Raw genomic sequence first — 19,014 nt, 5'->3', positions numbered from 1 at the left:
TCAGAGCCACACCCAAGACATCAGTGAGAACCCTGACTGGCCCGTTGCACCCCCTTTTTGGTCCCTTCCCATCTAGCCATTTTACAGCCTCAAATTCTTTGAGTTGTTTGTATCCCCAGACATGGGGCAAATTCCAGCATATAGTAGGTGCTCAGAAAATGCCCGTGGGATGAAAGACTGAAACTGCCTCTAGGTACATGGAGGGGGAGATTTGGGGTTCCCTCTGTGCTGAGAACCCTTTGTACTCAGGATGAGCCGGTGTAGGTAGCAACCACCATGACCTTTGGCCCTGCCCTGCATCCTGTTCCCCAACCTCTGGCTGTGCCTTCTAGAATCCCCACCCCCTAAGAGCTGCCAGGGATTGGCCAGAACTTGGCTTTGAGTCACAAAGCTGCTGCGGCACCAGGGCTCCAAGACTGGCCGTTCAGACTGCTAGGTTTAGCTTCAGGGGCAGGTGAGTGGGGCTGGTGGCTTTGGGGGCGGGTGAGTGGGGCTGGTGGCTTCAGGGGCGGGTGAGTGGGGCTGGTGGAGGACTTGTTTGCGAGGGTTCGTGGGGGACCCTGTCGTTCTCCTCTGGCCCCCAGTGCCTTTAGAGCCCTTCTGGGCCTTCTGGGTGACTGCAAATGATGGGTCAGCTCCTTGGCCCCTCACAGCAGGGGCTCTAGGGACCTCTAAAGCCTTGATGGTGGATTTGTTCACCTGTGATGGGGGACATCATGGAGAGCCTGTTATGTCTCTTTATTATTATTTTTTTAAATAAATAGAGACATGTTGCCCAGGCTGTTTTCAAACTCTTGGGCTGCAGCGATCCTCCCACCTTGGTCCCCCAAAGTGCTTGGATTACGGGCAGGAGCCACTGCGCCCAGCTGAGCCTGTTGTGTCTCTTTGGCAACCTGAGGATGGTGATCTTATGTCTTGTGACAGATAGGGAAATTGAGGCTCAGAGGGGTTTACTCAAAATTACCGAGCCAGTCGCTTGGCTTCTGTGTCCAGGGGGCCCCTGTTCCTTCTTCTCATCCCCCACAATCCCGTTTCTCACCCCTTCTGGTTGAGTTCCTCTAAAGAGCTGCACCGTTTGGTTGATGAAACCTCAGCCCCTGGAATGGGCCCATTCAGCTCCCAGAGCTGCTGTCTCCCGGGTTCAAGTGATTTTCCTGCCTCAGGAGTTCGAGACCAGCCTGACCCATATGGTCAAACCCCATCTCTACTAAAAATTCAAAAATTAGGCCGGGCAAGGTGGCTCACGCCTGTAACGCCAGCACTTTGGGAAGCCAAGGCGGGCAGATCACCTGTGATCAGGAGTTCAAGACCAGCCTGACCAACATGGAGAAACCCCATTTCCACTAAAAATACGAAATTAGGTGTGGTGGCGCATGCCTGTAATCCTAGCTATTTGGGAGGCTGAGGCAGGAGAATCGCTTGAACCTGGAGGCAGAGGTTGCAGTGAGCCAAGATGGCGCCATTGCACTCCAGCCTGGGCAACAAAAGTGAAATTCCGTCTCAAAGAGAATAATAATAATAATTAGGCCGGGCATGGTGACTCATGCCTGTAATCCCAGCACTTTGGGAGGCCGAGGCGGGCGGATCACTTGAGGTCAGGGGTTCGAGACCAGTCTGGCCAACATGGCGAAACCCCAACTCTACTAAAAATACAAAAGTTAGCCAAGTGTGGTGGCAAGTGCCTGTAATCCCAGCTACTCGGGAGGCTGAGACAGGAGAATCACTTTGAACCTGGGAGGCGGAGGTTGCAGTGAGCCAAGATCGTGCCACTGCACTTCAGCCTGGGCAACAGAGCAAGATTCCGTCCATCTCAAAAAAATAAAAATAATAAATATATGTGTGTCAATTATCCATGCATTGCCTCTTGTCTCCGAATGGACCCTTTCAATATGTGATAAACAAAGGAATTTCTTTCGTTATGTCTTGTTTAAAGTGAGCACAATGCTCGGCCAGGCGCGGTGGCTCACGCCTGTAATCCCAGCACTTTGGGAGGCCGAGGTGGGCGAATCACGAGGTCAGGAGATGGAGACCATCCTGGCTAGCATAGTGAAACCCCGTCTCTACTAAAAATACAAAATATTAACTGGGCGTGGTGGCAGGCGCCTGTAGTCCCAGCTACTCAGGAGGCTGAGGCAGGAGAATGGCGTGAACCCGGGAGGCAGAGCTTGCAGTGAGCCGAGATGGTGCCAGTGCACTCCAGCCTGGGAGACAGAACGAGACTCCGTCTCAAAAAAAAAAAAAAAGTGAGCACAATGCTAAGATTTCTCAATAGAGGGCGCTGGTGAGGCATTAGGGATAGAGGTGTGAAGACACCAGGTGAAGCCTGCCCGAGCCCTGGATCCAGAACGTGGTCCTGTGACTTTGCAGTCTTGACCTGGTGAAAACCTTTCTGCAGCCCTCTCAACACACACAAAAAACAGAGCCCCTAAGGCCGGGCGCGGTGGCTCATGCCTGTAATCCCAGCACTTTGGGAGGCCAAGGTGGGTGGATCACCTGTGGTCAGGAATTTGAGACCAGCCTGACCAATATGATGAAACCCCATCTGTACTAAAAATACAAAAATTTGCTAGGCGTGGTGGCAGGTGCCTGTAATCCCAGCTGCTCAGGAGGCTGAGGTAGGAGAATCGCTGGAAACCGAGAGGTAGAGGTTGCAGTGAAAGGAGATCGCGCCACTGCACTCCAGCCTGGGCGACAAGAACAAAACTCAAAAGAGAGAGAGAAAAAAAAAAAGGCCAGGCGCGGTGGCTCACGCCTGTAATCCCAGCACTTTGGGAGGCCGAGGCAGGCGAATCACCTGAGATCAGGAGTTTGAGACCAGCCTGGCCAACATGGTGAAACCCCGTCCCTCCAAAAACAAAACAAAACAAAACAAACAAAATTAGCTGGGTGTGGTGGGATTCATGCCTGTAATCCCAGCTACTCGGGAGGCTGAGGCAGGAGAATCGCTTGAACCCAGGAGGCGGAGGTTGCAGTGAGCCAAGATGCTGAGTGCCGCTGCACTCCAGCCTGGGGGACAGAGTGAGACTCTGTCTCAAAAATCATAAATAAATAAATGATAATAAACGAACAGAGCCCCCACGGTGGCCCATACACATTGAAGGCCTCCTGCCCCAGCAACACTTAGGTTTCCAGTGCACATCCAGAGCACCAACTGTTGATAACCTGTTCCCACATCTGCACCCTGGAGGGTGGGCCTTTTGCTTGTTTTGCAACTCCAGACCAGCTCTGGCTTGGCCGATCCAGCAATTATCTCCGTTAACTTGTTAGGCGGGACCATACTTTCTCCAAGGAAGTCTGAATGCTCTCCAAATTTGCCCCTTTTTTGGGGATACTCCCTCAGCCCTAAAGTACCACATAGAGTTTCCTTTTATCTTTTTTTTTTTTTTTTGAACTGAGTTTCGCTCAGTCACCCAGGCTGGTGTGCAATGGTATGATCTCAGCTCACTGCAACCTTTGCCTACTGGGTTCAAGAGATTCTCCCGCCTCAGCCTCCTAAGTAGCTGGGATTACAGGCACCTGCCATCATACCTGGCTAATTTTTGTATTTTTAGTAGAGACAGAGTTTCACCATGTTGGCCAGGCTGGTCTTGAACTCCTGACCTCACGTGAGCCACCCACCTCGGCCTCCCAAAGCACTGGGATTACAGGCGTGAGCCACTGCGCCTGGTTTTTTTTTTTTTTTTTTGAGACAGAGTCTCACTCTGTCGCCCAGGCTGGAGTGCAGTTGCGTGATCTCGGCTCACTGCAATCTCCATCTCTCGGGTTCAAGTGATTCTCCTGCTTCAGCCTCTGAAGTAGCTGGGATTACAGGTGCATGCCACTGTGCCTGGCTAAGTTTTGTATTTTTAGTAGAGACGGGGTTTCACCATGTTGGCCAGGCTGTTCTCGAACTCCTGACCTTGTGATCCACCTGCCTTGGCCTCCCGAAGTGCTGGGATGACAGGTGTGAGCCACCATGCCTGGCCTCCCAGGTTACCTTTTATCTTATACTTACTCTTTAATCACAATCTTTTTTTTTTTTTTTTTGAGACAGGGTCTCAGCCAGGCACCGTGGCTTACACTTGTCATCCCAGCTACTTGGGAGACTGAGGCACAAGAATCACTTGAACCTGGGAAGCAGAGGTTGCAGTGAGCCGAGATTGTGACGCTGCACTCCAGCCTGGGCAAAAGGGTGGGACTCTGTTTTAAAAACAAAAAAGAGATAGGGTCTCATTCTGTCGCTCAGGCTCGAGTGCAGTGGTGCCATCGTAGCTTACTGCAGTCTCAACCTCCTGGCCTCAAATGATCCTCCTGTCTCAGCCTCCCGAGTAGCTGGGACTACAGGTGCATGTCACCATGACTGGCTAATTTTTATGTTTTTAGTAGAGACGGGTTTTACCATGTTGCCCAGGCTGGTCTGGAACTCCTGGCCTCAAGTGACCCACCCACCTTGGCCTTCCAAATTGCTGGGGTTACAGACGTGAGCCACTGTGCCCGGCCTATTTTTTTTTTTTTTTTGAGACAGTTTTGCTCTTGTTGCCCCAGATGGAGTACAATGGCACGATCTCAGCTCACTGAAATCTCTGCCTCCCAGGTTCAAGATATTCTCCTGCCTCAGCCTCCTGAGTAGCTGGAATTACAGGCGTCAACCACTATGCCTGGCTAATTTCTTGTATTTTTAGTAGAGACGGGGTTTTACCATGTTGGCCAGGCTGGTCTCGAACTCCTGACCTCAGGTGATCCACCCTCCTCGGCCTCCCAGAGTGCTGGAATTACAGGCGTGAGCCACGCCTGGCCAATTTTTTTTTTTTTTTTTTTTTTTTTTTAAGAGACAGTTCTTGCTTAGTTTCCCAGGCTGGTCTCAAACTTCTGTCCTCAAGTGATCCTCCCATCTTGGCCTCCCAAAGTGCTGGGATTGCAGGCAAGAACCACTGTGCTCAGCCTGGACGCCATTTCTGATGCCTGGATATCATGCCCTTGTATGATTAATTTAAGCCTGTCTCCATTGATAATTTTGGTTTCTTCCAGTTTTTCCTCTGCTAAACAATACAGTGTTAAACATCCTTGAACATACTTCTGTATTCATTTGTAGCAGAACCTCTACCAATCACTGTTTTGGTTATTTCCAGTTGTTTTGTTTGATTTCTAGCTACAAAATAACACTGGAATAAATTTCCTCATCTTTGCACATTTTTTTTTTTTTTTAGAATTTAGCTTTTTTAGAATTTAGAAATTTTAGAATTTAGCATTTTTGCTTTTAACATTTCTTTTTGTGTTGGTCTTGAGCCAGCCCAGGGCAGTGTTGCTGCATATTGCATGGATGAAAGGCTGAAGGCTGCCTCCTCTTGCAGGCTGGCTTCTGAGATTGCACCTTCTTCTCCTGCTACTCCTCCAAATCTATGACCCTTCAAGGTAAGAAGATGGTCTATGGGCAAGGGGTCTGGCTAGTCCAACCTGAAGAGAGGGGCTTCTGCCAAACAAGTGTGCTGTGCTCCAGGCTATGCATCAGGGTGGCTTGACAGTGTCCCAGCTCTCTCTGCATCCTAGTTACTTCTGAAAGCCACAGTCACCACTTTTTCTTCCTTCTTTCCATCCTTCCATATGCCATTTACCTACCCATCCCCTAATCCACCCACCCACCCATCCACCCATCAGTCTACCTCCTGTTGGGTTATCTCTTCACCAGTCTTTCCAGCTCTCTTTAATTTCCCTCCCTCCCTTGCTTCCTTCCTTCTTTCCTTTTATTTGACACGGAGTTTCACTTCTGTTGCCCAGGCTGGAGTGTGATGGCGTGATCTTGGCTCACTGCAACCTCCTCCTCCCGGGTTCAAGCAATGCTCCTGCCTCAGCCTCCCGACTAGCTGGGACTACAGGCTCATGCCACCATACCTGGCTCTTTTTTTTTTTTTTTTTTTTGAGACAGAGTCTTGCTCTGTCACCCAGGCTGGAGTGAGGTGGCGCGATCTCGGCTTACTGCAACCTCTGCCTACCGGGTTCAAACAATTCTCCTGCCTCAGCCTCCTGAGTAGCTGGGATTACAGGCACGAGCCACCATGCCGAGCTAATTTTTGTATTTTCAGTAGAGATGGGGTTTCACCACGTTAGCCAGGCTGGTCTCAAACTCCTGACCTTGTGATCCGCTCACCTCGGCCTCCCAAAGTGCTGGGATTACAGGCATGAGCCACTGTGCCTGGCCTACTTTTCTGTATTTTTAGTAGAGACGGGTTTCACCATGTTGGCCCGGCTGGCCTCGAACTCCTGACCCCAAGCAATCTGCCCACCTTGGCCTCCCAAAGTGCTGGAATGACAGACATGAGCCACCGTGCCGGGCCAATTTGCCTTTAACACTTTATTCATCAGCTTTATTTACCTATTCATCCAAACCTTCATCTGTCTTTCCAACCCATCTACCATTCACTCATCGACTGATTCATCCATTCAGTATCTAGTCCTGTATCTATCTGTCCATCCAACTTCCAATCCACTCACCATTTATCAGTCAAGATGCCCCCCCCACCCAATACCTACCCATTCACAGCTTGGAACCAAGCTCTATGACTGAGATGGGGACACAGAAATGACTCTGTCTTCTAGGATTCACAATCAATGGGGAGAGGCAAATAATCTCCCCCACCACACTTCTCTCTCTCTCTTTTTCAAACACACACACACACACACACACACACACACACACACACACACAGAGGCAAACAGGAAATTTCCAAAACATTGTGATCAGTGCTAAACCCAGGGTACATCCAAGATAAAGTTTGAAAAGCAGGCCGGGCGCGGTGGCTCACACCTGTAATCCCAGCACTTTGGGAGGCTGAGTCAGGTGGATCACCCGAGGTCGGGAGTTCGAGACCAGCCTGGCCAACATGGTGAAACCCCGTCTTTACTAAAAATACAGAAAAGTAGCCAGCCAGGCATGGTGGCGTGCACCTGTAATCCCAGCTACTCGGGAGGCTGAGGCAGGAGAATCGCTTGAACCCAGGAGGCGGAGGTTGTGGTGAGCCAAGATCACAGCATTGCACTCCAGCCTGGGCAACAAGAGCAAAACTCTGTCTCAAAAAAAAAAAAAAAAAGAAAAGAAAAAAGAAAAGCAGGTAAGTGGTCGGGCATTCAGGTGTCATACACTGTGTGCCAAGATGAAGTGGCCGTAGGGTGATGAGAGGTGGATATAAGGATGGCAAAGACCACTTGGGAGAGGGAGGGATGGAAAAAGGGAGGCGGAAGATCGCAACGTGCCAGGAACAAGATCTGGGCCTGGGGGGCCAGTGTCCACCCCAGCCAGGAGACCTCTTGTTTGCAGGACCTGCTACACCCTGACCACCCCCTGCCGCCCCCACAGGCAGAGCTGACCTGTCCGGTAATCAAGGCAATGCAGCCGGCCGCCTAGCTACAGTTCACGAGCCAGTTGTCACCCAGTGGGCGGTGCATCCTCCAGCCCCCGCTCACCCCAGTCTCCTGGACAAAATGGAGAAAGCGCCTCCACAGCCCCAGCACGAGGGCCTCAAGTCCAAGGAGCATCTTCCGCAACAGCCTGCCGAAGGCAAGACGGCGTCCCGCCGCGTCCCACGCCTCCGGGCTGTGGTCGAGAGCCAGGCCTTCAAGAACATCCTGGTAGACGAGATGGACATGATGCACGCCCGTGCAGCCACGCTCATCCAAGCCAACTGGAGGGGCTATTGGCTCCGGCAGAAGCTGATTTCCCAGATGATGGCGGCCAAGGCCATCCAGGAGGCCTGGCGGCGCTTCAACAAGAGACACATCCTTCACTCCAGCAAGTCGTTGGTAAAGAAAACGAGGGCGGAGGAGGGGGACATACCTTATCACGCCCCACAGCAGGTGCGCTTCCAGCATCCGGAAGAGAACCGCCTTCTGTCCCCGCCCATCATGGTGAACAAGGAGACCCAGTTCCCTTCCTGTGACAATCTGGTCCTCTGCAGACCCCAGTCGTCCCCCCTCCTGCAGCCCCCAGCAGCTCAGGGTACCCCAGAGCCCTGTGTGCAGGGTCCTCATGCTGCCAGAGTCCGGGGGCTGGCCTTCCTGCCACACCAGACGGTCACCATCAGATTTCCCTGCCCAGTGAGTCTGGACGCAAAATGCCAGCCATGCCTGCTGACCAGAACCATCAGAAGCACCTGCCTCGTCCACATAGAGGGTGACTCAGTGAAGACCAAACGTGTAAGTGCCCGGACCAACAAAGCCAGGGCTCCGGAGACACCATTGTCCAGAAGGTATGACCAGGCAGTTACGAGACCATCCAGAGCCCAAACCCAGGGCCCTGTGAAAGCAGAGACCCCCAAAGCCCCCTTCCAGATATGTCCAGGGCCCATGATCACCAAGACTCTACTCCAGACATATCCAGTGGTCTCCGTGACCCTGCCACAGACATATCCAGCGTCCACGATGACCACCACCCCACCCAAGACTAGCCCAGTTCCCAAAGTAACAATAATCAAGACCCCAGCCCAGATGTATCCGGGGCCCACAGTGACCAAAACTGCACCTCACACATGCCCCATGCCCACAATGACCAAGATCCAGGTACACCCCACAGCCTCCAGAACTGGCACCCCACGGCAGACATGCCCTGCGACCATCACGGCAAAGAACCGACCTCAGGTTTCCCTTCTGGCTTCCATCATGAAGAGCCTGCCCCAGGTATGCCCGGGGCCTGCGATGGCAAAGACCCCACCCCAGATGCACCCGGTCACCACCCCAGCCAAAAACCCATTGCAAACATGTCTGTCAGCCACAATGTCCAAGACTTCATCCCAGAGGAGCCCAGTTGGGGTGACCAAGCCCTCACCCCAGACCCGCCTGCCAGCCATGATAACCAAGACCCCAGCCCAGTTACGCTCGGTGGCCACCATCCTCAAGACTCTGTGTCTGGCCTCTCCAACAGTGGCAAATGTCAAGGCTCCACCCCAAGTGGCGGTAGCAGCCGGAACTCCCAACACCTCAGGCTCCATCCATGAGAACCCACCCAAGGCCAAGGCCACCGTGAATGTGAAGCAGGCTGCAAAGGTGGTGAAAGCCTCATCCCCCTCCTATTTGGCTGAGGGGAAGATCAGGTGCCTGGCTCAACCACATCCGGGAACTGGGGTCCCCAGGGCTGCAGCTGAGCTTCCTTTGGAAGCCGAGAAAATCAAGACTGGCACCCAGAAACAGGCGAAAACAGACATGGCATTTAAGACCAGTGTGGCAGTGGAAATGGCTGGGGCTCCATCCTGGACAAAAGTTGCTGAGGAAGGGGACAAGCCACCTCACGTGTATGTGCCTGTAGACATGGCTGTCACCCTGCCCCGGGGACAGCTGGCTGCCCCACTGACCAATGCCTCATCCCAGAGACATCCACCCTGCCTGTCCCAGAGACCACTGGCCGCCCCGCTGACCAAGGCCTCATCTCAGGGACATCTGCCCACTGAGCTGACCAAGACCCCATCCCTGGCCCATCTGGACACCTGTCTGAGCAAGATGCATTCCCAGACACATCTGGCCACAGGTGCCGTGAAGGTCCAGTCCCAAGCGCCTCTAGCCACCTGTCTGACCAAGACGCAGTCCCGGGGGCAGCCGATCACAGACATAACCACGTGCCTCATCCCAGCGCACCAGGCTGCTGATCTCAGCAGCAACACCCACTCCCAGGTGCTCCTAACAGGGTCCAAGGTGTCCAACCACGCCTGCCAGCGCCTCGGTGGCCTCAGCGCCCCACCCTGGGCCAAGCCAGAGGACAGACAGACCCAGCCACAGCCCCACGGACACGTGCCGGGGAAGACCACTCAGGGGGGACCATGCCCGGCAGCCTGTGAGGTCCAGGGTATGCTGGTGCCGCCGATGGCACCCACCGGCCATTCCACATGCAACGTTGAGTCCTGGGGAGACAACGGAGCCACACGTGCCCAGCCATCAATGCCCGGCCAGGCGGTGCCCTGCCAGGAGGACACGGTAGGCTCCCTGCTGGCCTCCTTGTGTGCTGAAGTAGCTGGTGTGCTGGCATCCCAGGAGGATCTCCGCACTCTGTTGGCCAAAGCCCTCTCCCAGGGAGAAGTCTGGGCAGCTCTGAACCAGGCCCTGTCCAAGGAGGTCCTGGGTGCCACTGTCACCAAAGCCCTGCCCCAGAGCATGCTGAGCATGGCGCTGGTGAAGGCGCTGTCCTGGAGTGAGCTGCGCCTGACCCTGTCCCGAGCCCTGTCCCGGGGCGAGCTGCGGGCGGAACTCACCAAGGTCATGCAGGGTAAATTGGCCGAGGTGCTTAGCAAGGCTTTGACGGAGGAGGAGTGGGTGGCTCTGAGCCAGGCCCTGTGTCAGGGTGAGCTGGGTGCTCTCCTGAGCCAGTCTTGGTGTCGGGTGGCCCTGAGGACTGGAACCATCCTCCCCAAGGCCGCCTCGAAATCAACAGGAAGCGGGGTGACTAAGACGCCGGCCCTGGTGAAGGTGGCCTGCAGGAGGAGTCCATCGGCCGCATGGGGGCCCTCCCTGGGCCCCGTGAGACCACAGACCAGCAAGGTCAGGGATTCCCAGGTTGGGATCTGGGGTTGTTTCACCATGGGCCAACCTGCCGGGCCCTTGGAGGAGATGGGGGATTGATGGGGCCATCTTGTGGGGGTCACCCTGCTTATCTGTGGTCACTGTGGGAGCCTCGGTGATGGGTAGCGTCATCACCAGCATTCACCAGGGTCCCCTGATCACTGGCCTGTATCCCATGCTGTCCCGGGAGATGATGGAGTCCAGCAGGGACTTCTCCTCAAACCTGGATTTGAGCCCCAAGTTCCAAAAGGAAGAAGCATGCCCGACCCTGGAGCCTGGCACATTGGCATCAGATTTTAACCCCGAGGGGAGTGGGGAGGGCCCCAGTTTGCTCAAGCTGTCCCACATGCAGCCACCCCCGAGTCTGTGGCAGCCTCTCATTGCCAACTGTGTGGGCCCAAGCATGAACCAGCCCTCTGTGATCTATGGCACAGCCCCGAGCTGCCACAGGCCACATGTGGTCAGCAGGGTGGCCTCTTATCTATCGACCAGGGAGGGCAGGGTGGCCTCGGGTAGGCTTCCTTGCAGCGTGGGTGGTGGGAGGGCTGCCCATGTTCACCAGCCTTACCTCACCTGTGGGGGCCTGCCTTGGTGTCAGTCCTCAGGGGTACATCGTGGTCTCTACCAACCCTTAGTGGCCAGAGGCCAGCAGCAGGCATCCAGGGCTTCCAGGGAGAGCCTGGGGAGGAGGTATCAGCCCCCAAATCGCAAACAGGCCCCCCCGGGTACTAGGGAGGTGATAGACAAGGGGGCCCCAAGTCCCTTGCAGGTCACCATGGTGACCAAAACTCAGGCATCCAAGACTCATGGTCTGTTTCAAGCTTCCCCCGGCAGTGCATTGGCTCAAGTTCGTCCCAAGACATCTGTCTGTGGACAGGGGAGGAATCGAACACAGGGTTCTGTGTCTGCCCTGCTCTGCCCCCAGAAGCTAGCAACAGACCACCAGCCATCCATCCTCGGTGAGCCAGTAGGTGGTTTGCCACAGGATCGAGACGGTGACCTGGCCAGGAGCTTCTCCCAGGGCTTTGTGACCTACAGTCAGGAGAACAATTCCGAAAGCTCTCTGCAAAGTTCTAGTTCCCTCAGCCTTTCCACTATGTCTGTGGCCAGCCTGCCTGCCGTCAACAAGATAGATGAGTCACGGGAAAGCAGTTTAGAAGGGGACCTTGCGGTGAAGTCTGTTTTTCCTCCGGAGTCCATGGGGACACTCCAGAGGTTTAAGGATACGCAAGAGACTGAAACCGGCTATAGGTACATGACCCTACACTTCCCCTACCGGCCCACTCCAGCCTCGGAGAAAGTGCCCAGTTTCCAACACAGCTCAGTGTCTAACTGCTTGACCTTGCGTGTTCACTGGGGCTCAGAGGCTGAGATCCACAAGTTCTCCTTAGGCAAGAGCTCTGTGAATCTGATTGAGGTGTCCCAGGCAACCGTCAAGACAGAGCTGAGGAGGACTCTGTCTTTAGGTACTGTGGTCTCCACTGCATATAAGCCACCATCTGTGGCCAAGAGCTTGGCCCCAATTGTGTCCCAGGCTACACTGGCCAGTAGGGTAGCCCCAAACCTAGGCCAGGCATCAGGGTTCAGTAGGCTGGCCCCAAGCCTATCCCAGCATATAGCATCCAGTAAGGTATCCCCAAGGCTAACCTGCCCATCTATGGGTAATTGGGTGACCCCAAGGCTACCACACTCCTCTGTGCCTAATAGAGTGACACCAAGACCAGCACAGCCATCTGTGGTGACTAGGAGGTCCCCAAGCCGAGGACACCCATCAAGGACCTTTAGAGTGGCCTCAGACCAAGGTCACCAATCAATGGCTAACTGGGGGTCCCAAAACCTAGCCCAGCCATCTATGGACAGTGGGGAGCCCTCAAGCCTAGCCCAGCCATCTCAAGCCCCTGGGGTAACCTCAAATCTGGCCCAGCCATCTCAAGCCTTTGGGGTGTCTCCAAGTCCAGACTACCCATCTCAGTCTGTTGGGGAGTACCCAATGCTGGCTCAGCCATTTCAGCCCACTGAGGTGTCCCCAAGTCCAACCTACCCATCTCAGGCCATTAGGGAGTACCCAACCCTGGCACAGCCATTTCAGCCCACTGAGGTATCTCCAAGCCCAGCCCACCCATATCAGCTCACTGAGGTGTCCCCAAGTGCAGCCTACTCATATCAGCCCACTGAGGTGTCCCCAAACCCAGGCTACCTATCTATGGCCATTGAGATGTCCCCAAGCCCAGAATACCCATCTGTGGCCACTGAGGTGTCCCCAAGCCCAACCTACCCATATCAGCCCACTGAGATATCCCCAAGCTCAGGCTACCTATCTGTGGCCACTGAGGTGTCCCCAAGCCCAGGCTACCCATCTCAGCTCACTGAGGTGTCCCCAAGCTCAGGCTACCTATCTGTGGCCACTGAAGTGTCCCCAAGCCCAGACTACTCATCTCAGCCTACTGAGATGTCCCCAAGCTCAGGCTACCTATCTATGGCCACTGAGGTGTCCCCAAGCCCAGGCTACCCATTTCAGCCCACTGAGGTGTCCCCAAGCCCAGACTATCCATGTGTGGCCACTGGGGAGTCCCCTAGCCTTGCCCAGCCATCTCAGCCCACTGAGGTGTCCCCAAGCTCAGCCTACCCATCTGTGGTCACTGGGGAGTCTCCAAGCCTGGCCCAGTCATATCAGCGCACTGAGGTGTTCCCAAGCCCAGCCTACCCATTTATGGCCACTGAGGTGTCCCCAAGCCCAGGCGACCCATCTGTGGTCACTGGGGAGTCCCCAAGCCCAGCCTACCCATCTCAGCCCACTGAGATGTCCCCAAGCCCAGCCTACCCATCTCAGCCCACTGGGGAGTCTCCAAGCCTGACCCAGCCATCTCTGACCATCAGAGTGTCCCCAAGCCTAGCCATGTCATCTCAGACTATTGGAGTGTCCCCAAGCCTAGCCATGCCATCTCAGACCATTGGAGTGTCCCCAAGCCTAGCCATGCCATTTCACACCATTGGAGTGTCCCCAACCCTAGCTCACCCATCTATGGCCATTCGGGAGTCTCCAAGCCTGGCCCAGCCTCCTCAGTCCACTGGGGAATCCCCAAGCTTGACCTGGCCATCTCAGGCCACTGGGGTGTCCCCAAGTGTAGCCCACCAATCTGTGGCCAGTAGGGTTTCCTCAAGCCTAGCCCAGCCATCTCAAGCCAGTGGGATGTCCCCTAGACAAGATTACCCACCAGTGGCCTCCAGGGTGTCCCCAAACCAAGCTCACGCATCTATAACCAGCAGGATGTCCCCTAGCAGAGCTCATGCATCTATGACCTGTATGGTGTCCCCAAGCCAGGTTCATCGATCTATGCCCAGTGAGGTGTCCCCAAGCCTTGCCCAGCTATCTCAGGCCACCACTGCAGTGCCCTTAAGACCAGCTCATCAACCTATGGCCTGTGGTGTATCCCCAAGCCTAGCCCAGCCGTCTCAAGCCACAGGGATGTCTTCAAGGCTAGCCCACCAACCTATGACCTGTGTGGTGTCCTTAAGCCCAGCCCAGCCATCTCAAGCCATTGGTGTGTCCCCAAGCCTAGCCCACCCATCAGGACCCCATGGGTTGTCTCCAAGTCTAGCTCACCCATATGTGGCCAGTGGGGCGGGCTCCAGCCTAGCCCACCCATCTCAGACCACTGCAGTATCCCCAAGGCAAGCCCAACCATCTGTGGCCTCCAGTCCAGGCAAGACAAATTCATCCTGTACCCTAGCCTCCAGCCTAGCCGAGCCAGCTATAGCCCCCAGCCTATTCCCACCATCTGTGGCCCACACGGAAGCCCTAAGCCTGGCTCAGTCACCCCCGGACACTAGGTTGGCCCCAAGCCGATCCCAGCCATCTGTGGTCAGTGGTACATGTCATGGCCTCAATGAGCCATGCTGGGGCTCTAGGCTGGATTCAAATCTGCAGTGTTCAAGGGTGGACTCAGTAGCCCCGTGTCTGTGTCACCCATCAGCGTTTGTTTCAGTTAGCCTGGGTGGACCATATCCCTCTGTGGCTGGAAATATGGACCAGGGTCTGAACCAGCCATCCCTGGGTACTGGGGTGAACCTATGTGAAGAACCTCTGATGGTTAGTGAGATGGTATCCAGCCCCCCGGACTTCAAGTTCAACGACGTGTCCCTTGGGTTCCATCATCCACCCAGGGTTGGTGGGAGGCATGTGTGTCCACCCTCTGTGGTTAGTGTTTCAACACCAAATCTCTCTCATGCTGATGAGGAGGCCTGTTGTGTAGGCCAGTGAATCACGCCTCTGTTCAGGGGTGTGGCTGTAAGCCATCCCCAGGAGCCTTTGGCTGATGCTATGTTCCCCAGTGGGTCTCAGGGGACCACATCTCCTGGCCTAGCTGGGAATCTCCCCTGGAGAACCATAGCAACTGGCATGGGCCAAAGTCAATGTCAGGTGGCCAATGGCATGGCTTCCCTTGCATCCCAGGTCTTAGAGGCAGGTGGCCCTTTGACACATCCCTCTGGAACCACAGGGATGGCCCCCAGCCCCTCTCTGGCTTCAGTGCCCAACAGACTGGCCGTGACTCAGTCTAATCTTTCCCTGAACAGCATGGACCCCAGCAGCTCCCAGATCAGTGTGGTTATTCCAAAAAACATAGACTGCTGGCACCCTTCTGAGGCATCCATGGTCCCACCCAGTTACCAGCAGAGAGATGTGATTCCGCAGGACTCTCTGAAGAGCAGGGCTGGTCGTGGTGCGGCAGGAGGTTTTGTAGCCAGTAGAATGAGCACGGGCGCAGTCCCAGGCACTCTGCCTGGTGGCATAACCTCCAGCCTTCCCCCGGGCTCCACCATCCGAGGCATGGGTCACAGCCTTCCCGCAGGCTCTGTGTCCAGTTGGGTGGCTCCCAGTCTGATGGCAGACAGAAAGAAGCCAAGTCTATCTGTAAGACCCTCCGCTAGCTTAGCTGCTCCAAACTTGCTCCCAGGTTCAGTAGTGAGTCGGGTGAGCCCAGTTGTCCCCCTGGTTCTGTGCCAATGATGGGGGCCTCTAGTGTGGCTCAGAGCTGCTCCAAGGGGCCCATGGTGATTGACATCACTGCCCCTCCTTACCTCAAAGCCTGGCTGGGGAGAGGTCTTTAGCCCCCTTGCAGATGCCCCACACCACCAGTCTGGCTCCAGGTCACTCCTCAGCCCCGGCAGCTAGTGGCACAGTGAGGAGTCTACACCGAGTGCCCACGGTTCTATCAAGAGCCTTACAATTGAGCCAAGATGCTAGGATAATGCCATCTGGGGTCACAGGGGACCAAGCCAAGCTAGGAGAATTGGATGAGGCTGTGTTCCAAGTGTCAGGATCAAGTGGATCCAATGACCTATTCAGCAAAGCCAGGGTCACTGGTGCAACCCAGTGGATGTACTCCAGTCCTCTGGGAGCTGATGGGGGCCATGATCATAGGTCCCTGTCTGAGAAAGGGTCTCTTCCCCAAGGGAGGTGGCTCCCAGCCATGCTAGTGGCATGGTCCCTGTCCCTTTCCAGGCCCCGGGTTTAGCCACTAAGTCCCCCTCAGTTTATCAACAGGGGTCTGTCACTCACGTCATACCCCCAAATCACTCTCAGGGTACAGTGGCTTCTAATGTAGTCTCAGGATCACCCCAGCTGGCCCGTGGCAGTACTGAGGCTTTCAGATTGCTTTCAGTGTCTGTGGGCAGGATGGGGAATCCTAGTCTTCTTCAGAGGTCAGGGACCACCAGCATGGTCTCACATGTGCCACTATATCCGTCCTCGGCTAGAAGGGCATTGTCCAGTCCCTTCCAGACAGAAGCTGTCCCCAATCCACTCCAGAAAACAGTGTCTGGAAACATGGCTCCGAGCAGCCGCTGGGACGCCATGGGCCCTAAAAATTCCTACAGATCCGTGCATGGTAGGATTGTTCCAGAACTGCTAGAAAGTTCTGTGGCCAGGGTTAGGCCCTTACAGTATGTGCAAAGACAACCATCCCAGGCCTCAGCCCGAAGTGGTGCAAACCCCACCCACAGGCCCTCTGCAGAGGTAAGGCCCGTCATCCGCACTGGGGAGATGACACACTCCTCGGTCATTCCTCCGCTGGCCCCGGGAGTTCGGAGGGTGTCTCTAGGCTATGAGTCTTCCCCAAGTGGTTCCCTGCCACCCCTTTTTAACCAGGAGTCACCGTGGAGACGGCAGGACTCCTATAGCCCCCAGAATCCTGCCGTTAGTCACAAGGCATCCCTGAACTCCACTATACTCCAGGGCCCCGCGGACGCTGGTGTGGTTGGTGGCCAATCGTGGAACCGCGCATGGGAGCCAGCCAGGGGTGCTGCGTCCTGGGACACCTGGCGCAACAAGGCGGTGGTGCCTCCCAGGCGGTCCGGGGAGCCAATGGTGTCCATGCAGGCTGCAGAGGAGATCCGCATCCTCGCAGTGATCACTATCCAGGCGGGCGTCCGTGGCTACCTGGCGCGTCGCAGGATCCGGCTGTGGCACCGGGGGGCCATGGTCATCCAAGCTACTTGGCGCGGCTACCGTGTGCGGCGGAACCTGGCACACCTCTGCAGAGCCACCACGACCATCCAGTCTGCCTGGCGCGGCTACAGCACCCGCCGGGACCAAGCCCGGCACTGGCAGATGCTCCACCCCGTCACGTGGGTGGAGCTGGGCAGCCGGGCCGGGGTCATGTCTGACCGAAGCTGGTTCCAGGATGGCAGAGCCAGGACAGTATCTGACCATCGCTGCTTCCAGTCCTGCCAGGCACACGCTTGCAGCGTCTGCCACTCCCTGAGCTCCAGGATCGGGAGCCCGCCCAGCGTGGTGATGCTAGTGGGCTCCAGCCCTCGCACCTGTCATACCTGTGGACGCACACAGCCCACCCGTGTGGTGCAGGGCATGGGCCAGGGCACTGAGGGCCCCGGGGCAGTGTCTTGGGCCTCCGCCTACCAGCTGGCTGCCCTGAGTCCCAGGCAGCCGCATCGCCAGGACAAAGCGGCCACAGCCATCCAGTCCGCCTGGAGGGGCTTTAAGATCCGCCAGCAGATGAGGCAGCAGCAAATGGCAGCGAAGATAGTTCAAGCCACCTGGCGAGGCCACCATACCCGGAGCTGTCTGAAGAACACAGAGGCGCTCTTGGGACCAGCAGACCCCTCGGCCAGCTCACGGCACATGCATTGGCCTGGCATCTAGGACCCTGGCTCCCTGCAGTGGGGACTTCGTGGGAGGCACTCATGGCTCTCTGGGTCTAATGAATAAAGTCCTCCACAGCCTAGATCTTGGGTGATGTGTTCTGGGTTAATGGAAGTGGCTTGGGTATAGTGGGGGAATCTGGAACATCCCAGAGGGAAGAGAACTCTGAAGTTACCAACCATGCAGTATGCATCTGGGGTCTGTGGCCAGCATGGGGACCTCAAATCTTTCCTGGAGGTCAGGCACTGCCAATGTGGTCTCAGCTGTGCCTCTGCCATATCCACGTACAGGTAGTGGGGTGGTGTCCAGCCCGTCCCAGATGGAAACTGTCCCCAGTGCACTCTAGAAATGTGCCTGGGACCTGGCCCAGAGCACTCACCTCAAGTCCCTCACCCCTAAAAAATCCTACAGGATGGCTGGGTGTGGTGGCTCATGCCTGTAATCCCAGCACTTTGGGAAACCAAGACGAGTGGGTCACCTGAGGTCAGGAGTTAGAGCTATCAGCCTGGCCAACATGGTAAAACCCCATCTATACTAAAAAAAAATACAACAACAAAAAAAGGCCAGGCACGGTGGCTCACGCCTGTAATCCCAGCACTTTGGGAGGCCGAGGTGGGCAGATCACCTGAGGTCAGAAGTTCGAGATCAGCCTGACCAACATGGAGAAACCCCGTCTCTACTAAAAATACAAAATTAGCCGGCCATGGTGGCACATGCCTGTAATCCCAGCTACTCAGGAAGCTGAGGCAGGAGAATCGCTTGGACCCGGGAGGCGGAGGTTGTGGTGAGCCAAGATTGTGCCATTGCATTCCAGCCTGGGCAACAAGAGCTAAACTCAGTCTCAAAAAAAAAAAAAAAAAATTAGCCGGGCATGGTGGTACACGCCTGTAATCGCAGCTACTTGGGAGGCTGAGGCGGGAGGTTGCTTGAATCCCAGAGTTTGAGAATGCAGTGAGCTGTGATTGTGCCACTGTGCTTCAGCCTGGGCGACAGAGTGAGACCCCGTCTCTTAAAAAAAAAAAAAAAAAGGGCTGGGCACGGTGGCTCATGCCTGTAATCCTAGCAGTTTGGGAGGCCGAGGCGGGTGGATCACTTGAGGTCAGGAGTTCGAGACCAGCCTGGCCAACATGGTGAAACCCTGTCTCTGCTAAAAAATACAAAAATTAGCCAGGCCTGGTAGCGGGCGCCAGCTACTCGGGAGGCTGAGGCAGGAGAATTACTTGAACCCGGGAGGCAGAGGTTGCAGTGAGCCAAGATTGCATCACTGCGCTCCAGTCTGGGTGACAGAGCAAGACTCCGTCTCAAAAAAAAAAAAGAATAAAAGAAAGAAAAAGAAA

The 19,014-nt window shown here is 55.5% G+C and overlaps 1 protein-coding gene across 4 annotated transcripts; it reads left to right on the top strand.

Moving 5' to 3' along the window:
* Positions 405-17,759, top strand: IQCN (IQ motif containing N). Of its 4 annotated transcripts, none has more exons than NM_025249.4 (4): positions 405-454; positions 5,270-5,391; positions 7,331-9,933; positions 16,751-17,759. In NM_025249.4, the coding sequence occupies exons 2-4, from the start codon at positions 5,379-5,381 to the stop codon at positions 17,675-17,677; spliced, it is 3,543 nt and encodes a 1,180-aa protein (NP_079525.1). In that variant the 5' UTR covers positions 405-454; positions 5,270-5,378; the 3' UTR covers positions 17,678-17,759. The 4 variants fall into 4 exon arrangements, with proteins under 4 accessions (NP_079525.1, NP_001138776.1, NP_001138777.1 ...); NM_001145304.2 differs by having other exon boundaries at positions 7,331-10,494; NM_001145305.2 differs by having other exon boundaries at positions 7,292-9,933.
* The last annotated feature ends 1,255 nt before the right edge of the window (positions 17,760-19,014 follow it).

Source organism: Homo sapiens, chromosome 19 (assembly GCF_000001405.40).
Source record: "Homo sapiens chromosome 19, GRCh38.p14 Primary Assembly".
NCBI lineage: Eukaryota > Metazoa > Chordata > Mammalia > Primates > Hominidae > Homo > Homo sapiens.
This window is presented reverse-complemented; position numbering and strand designations above follow the sequence as displayed.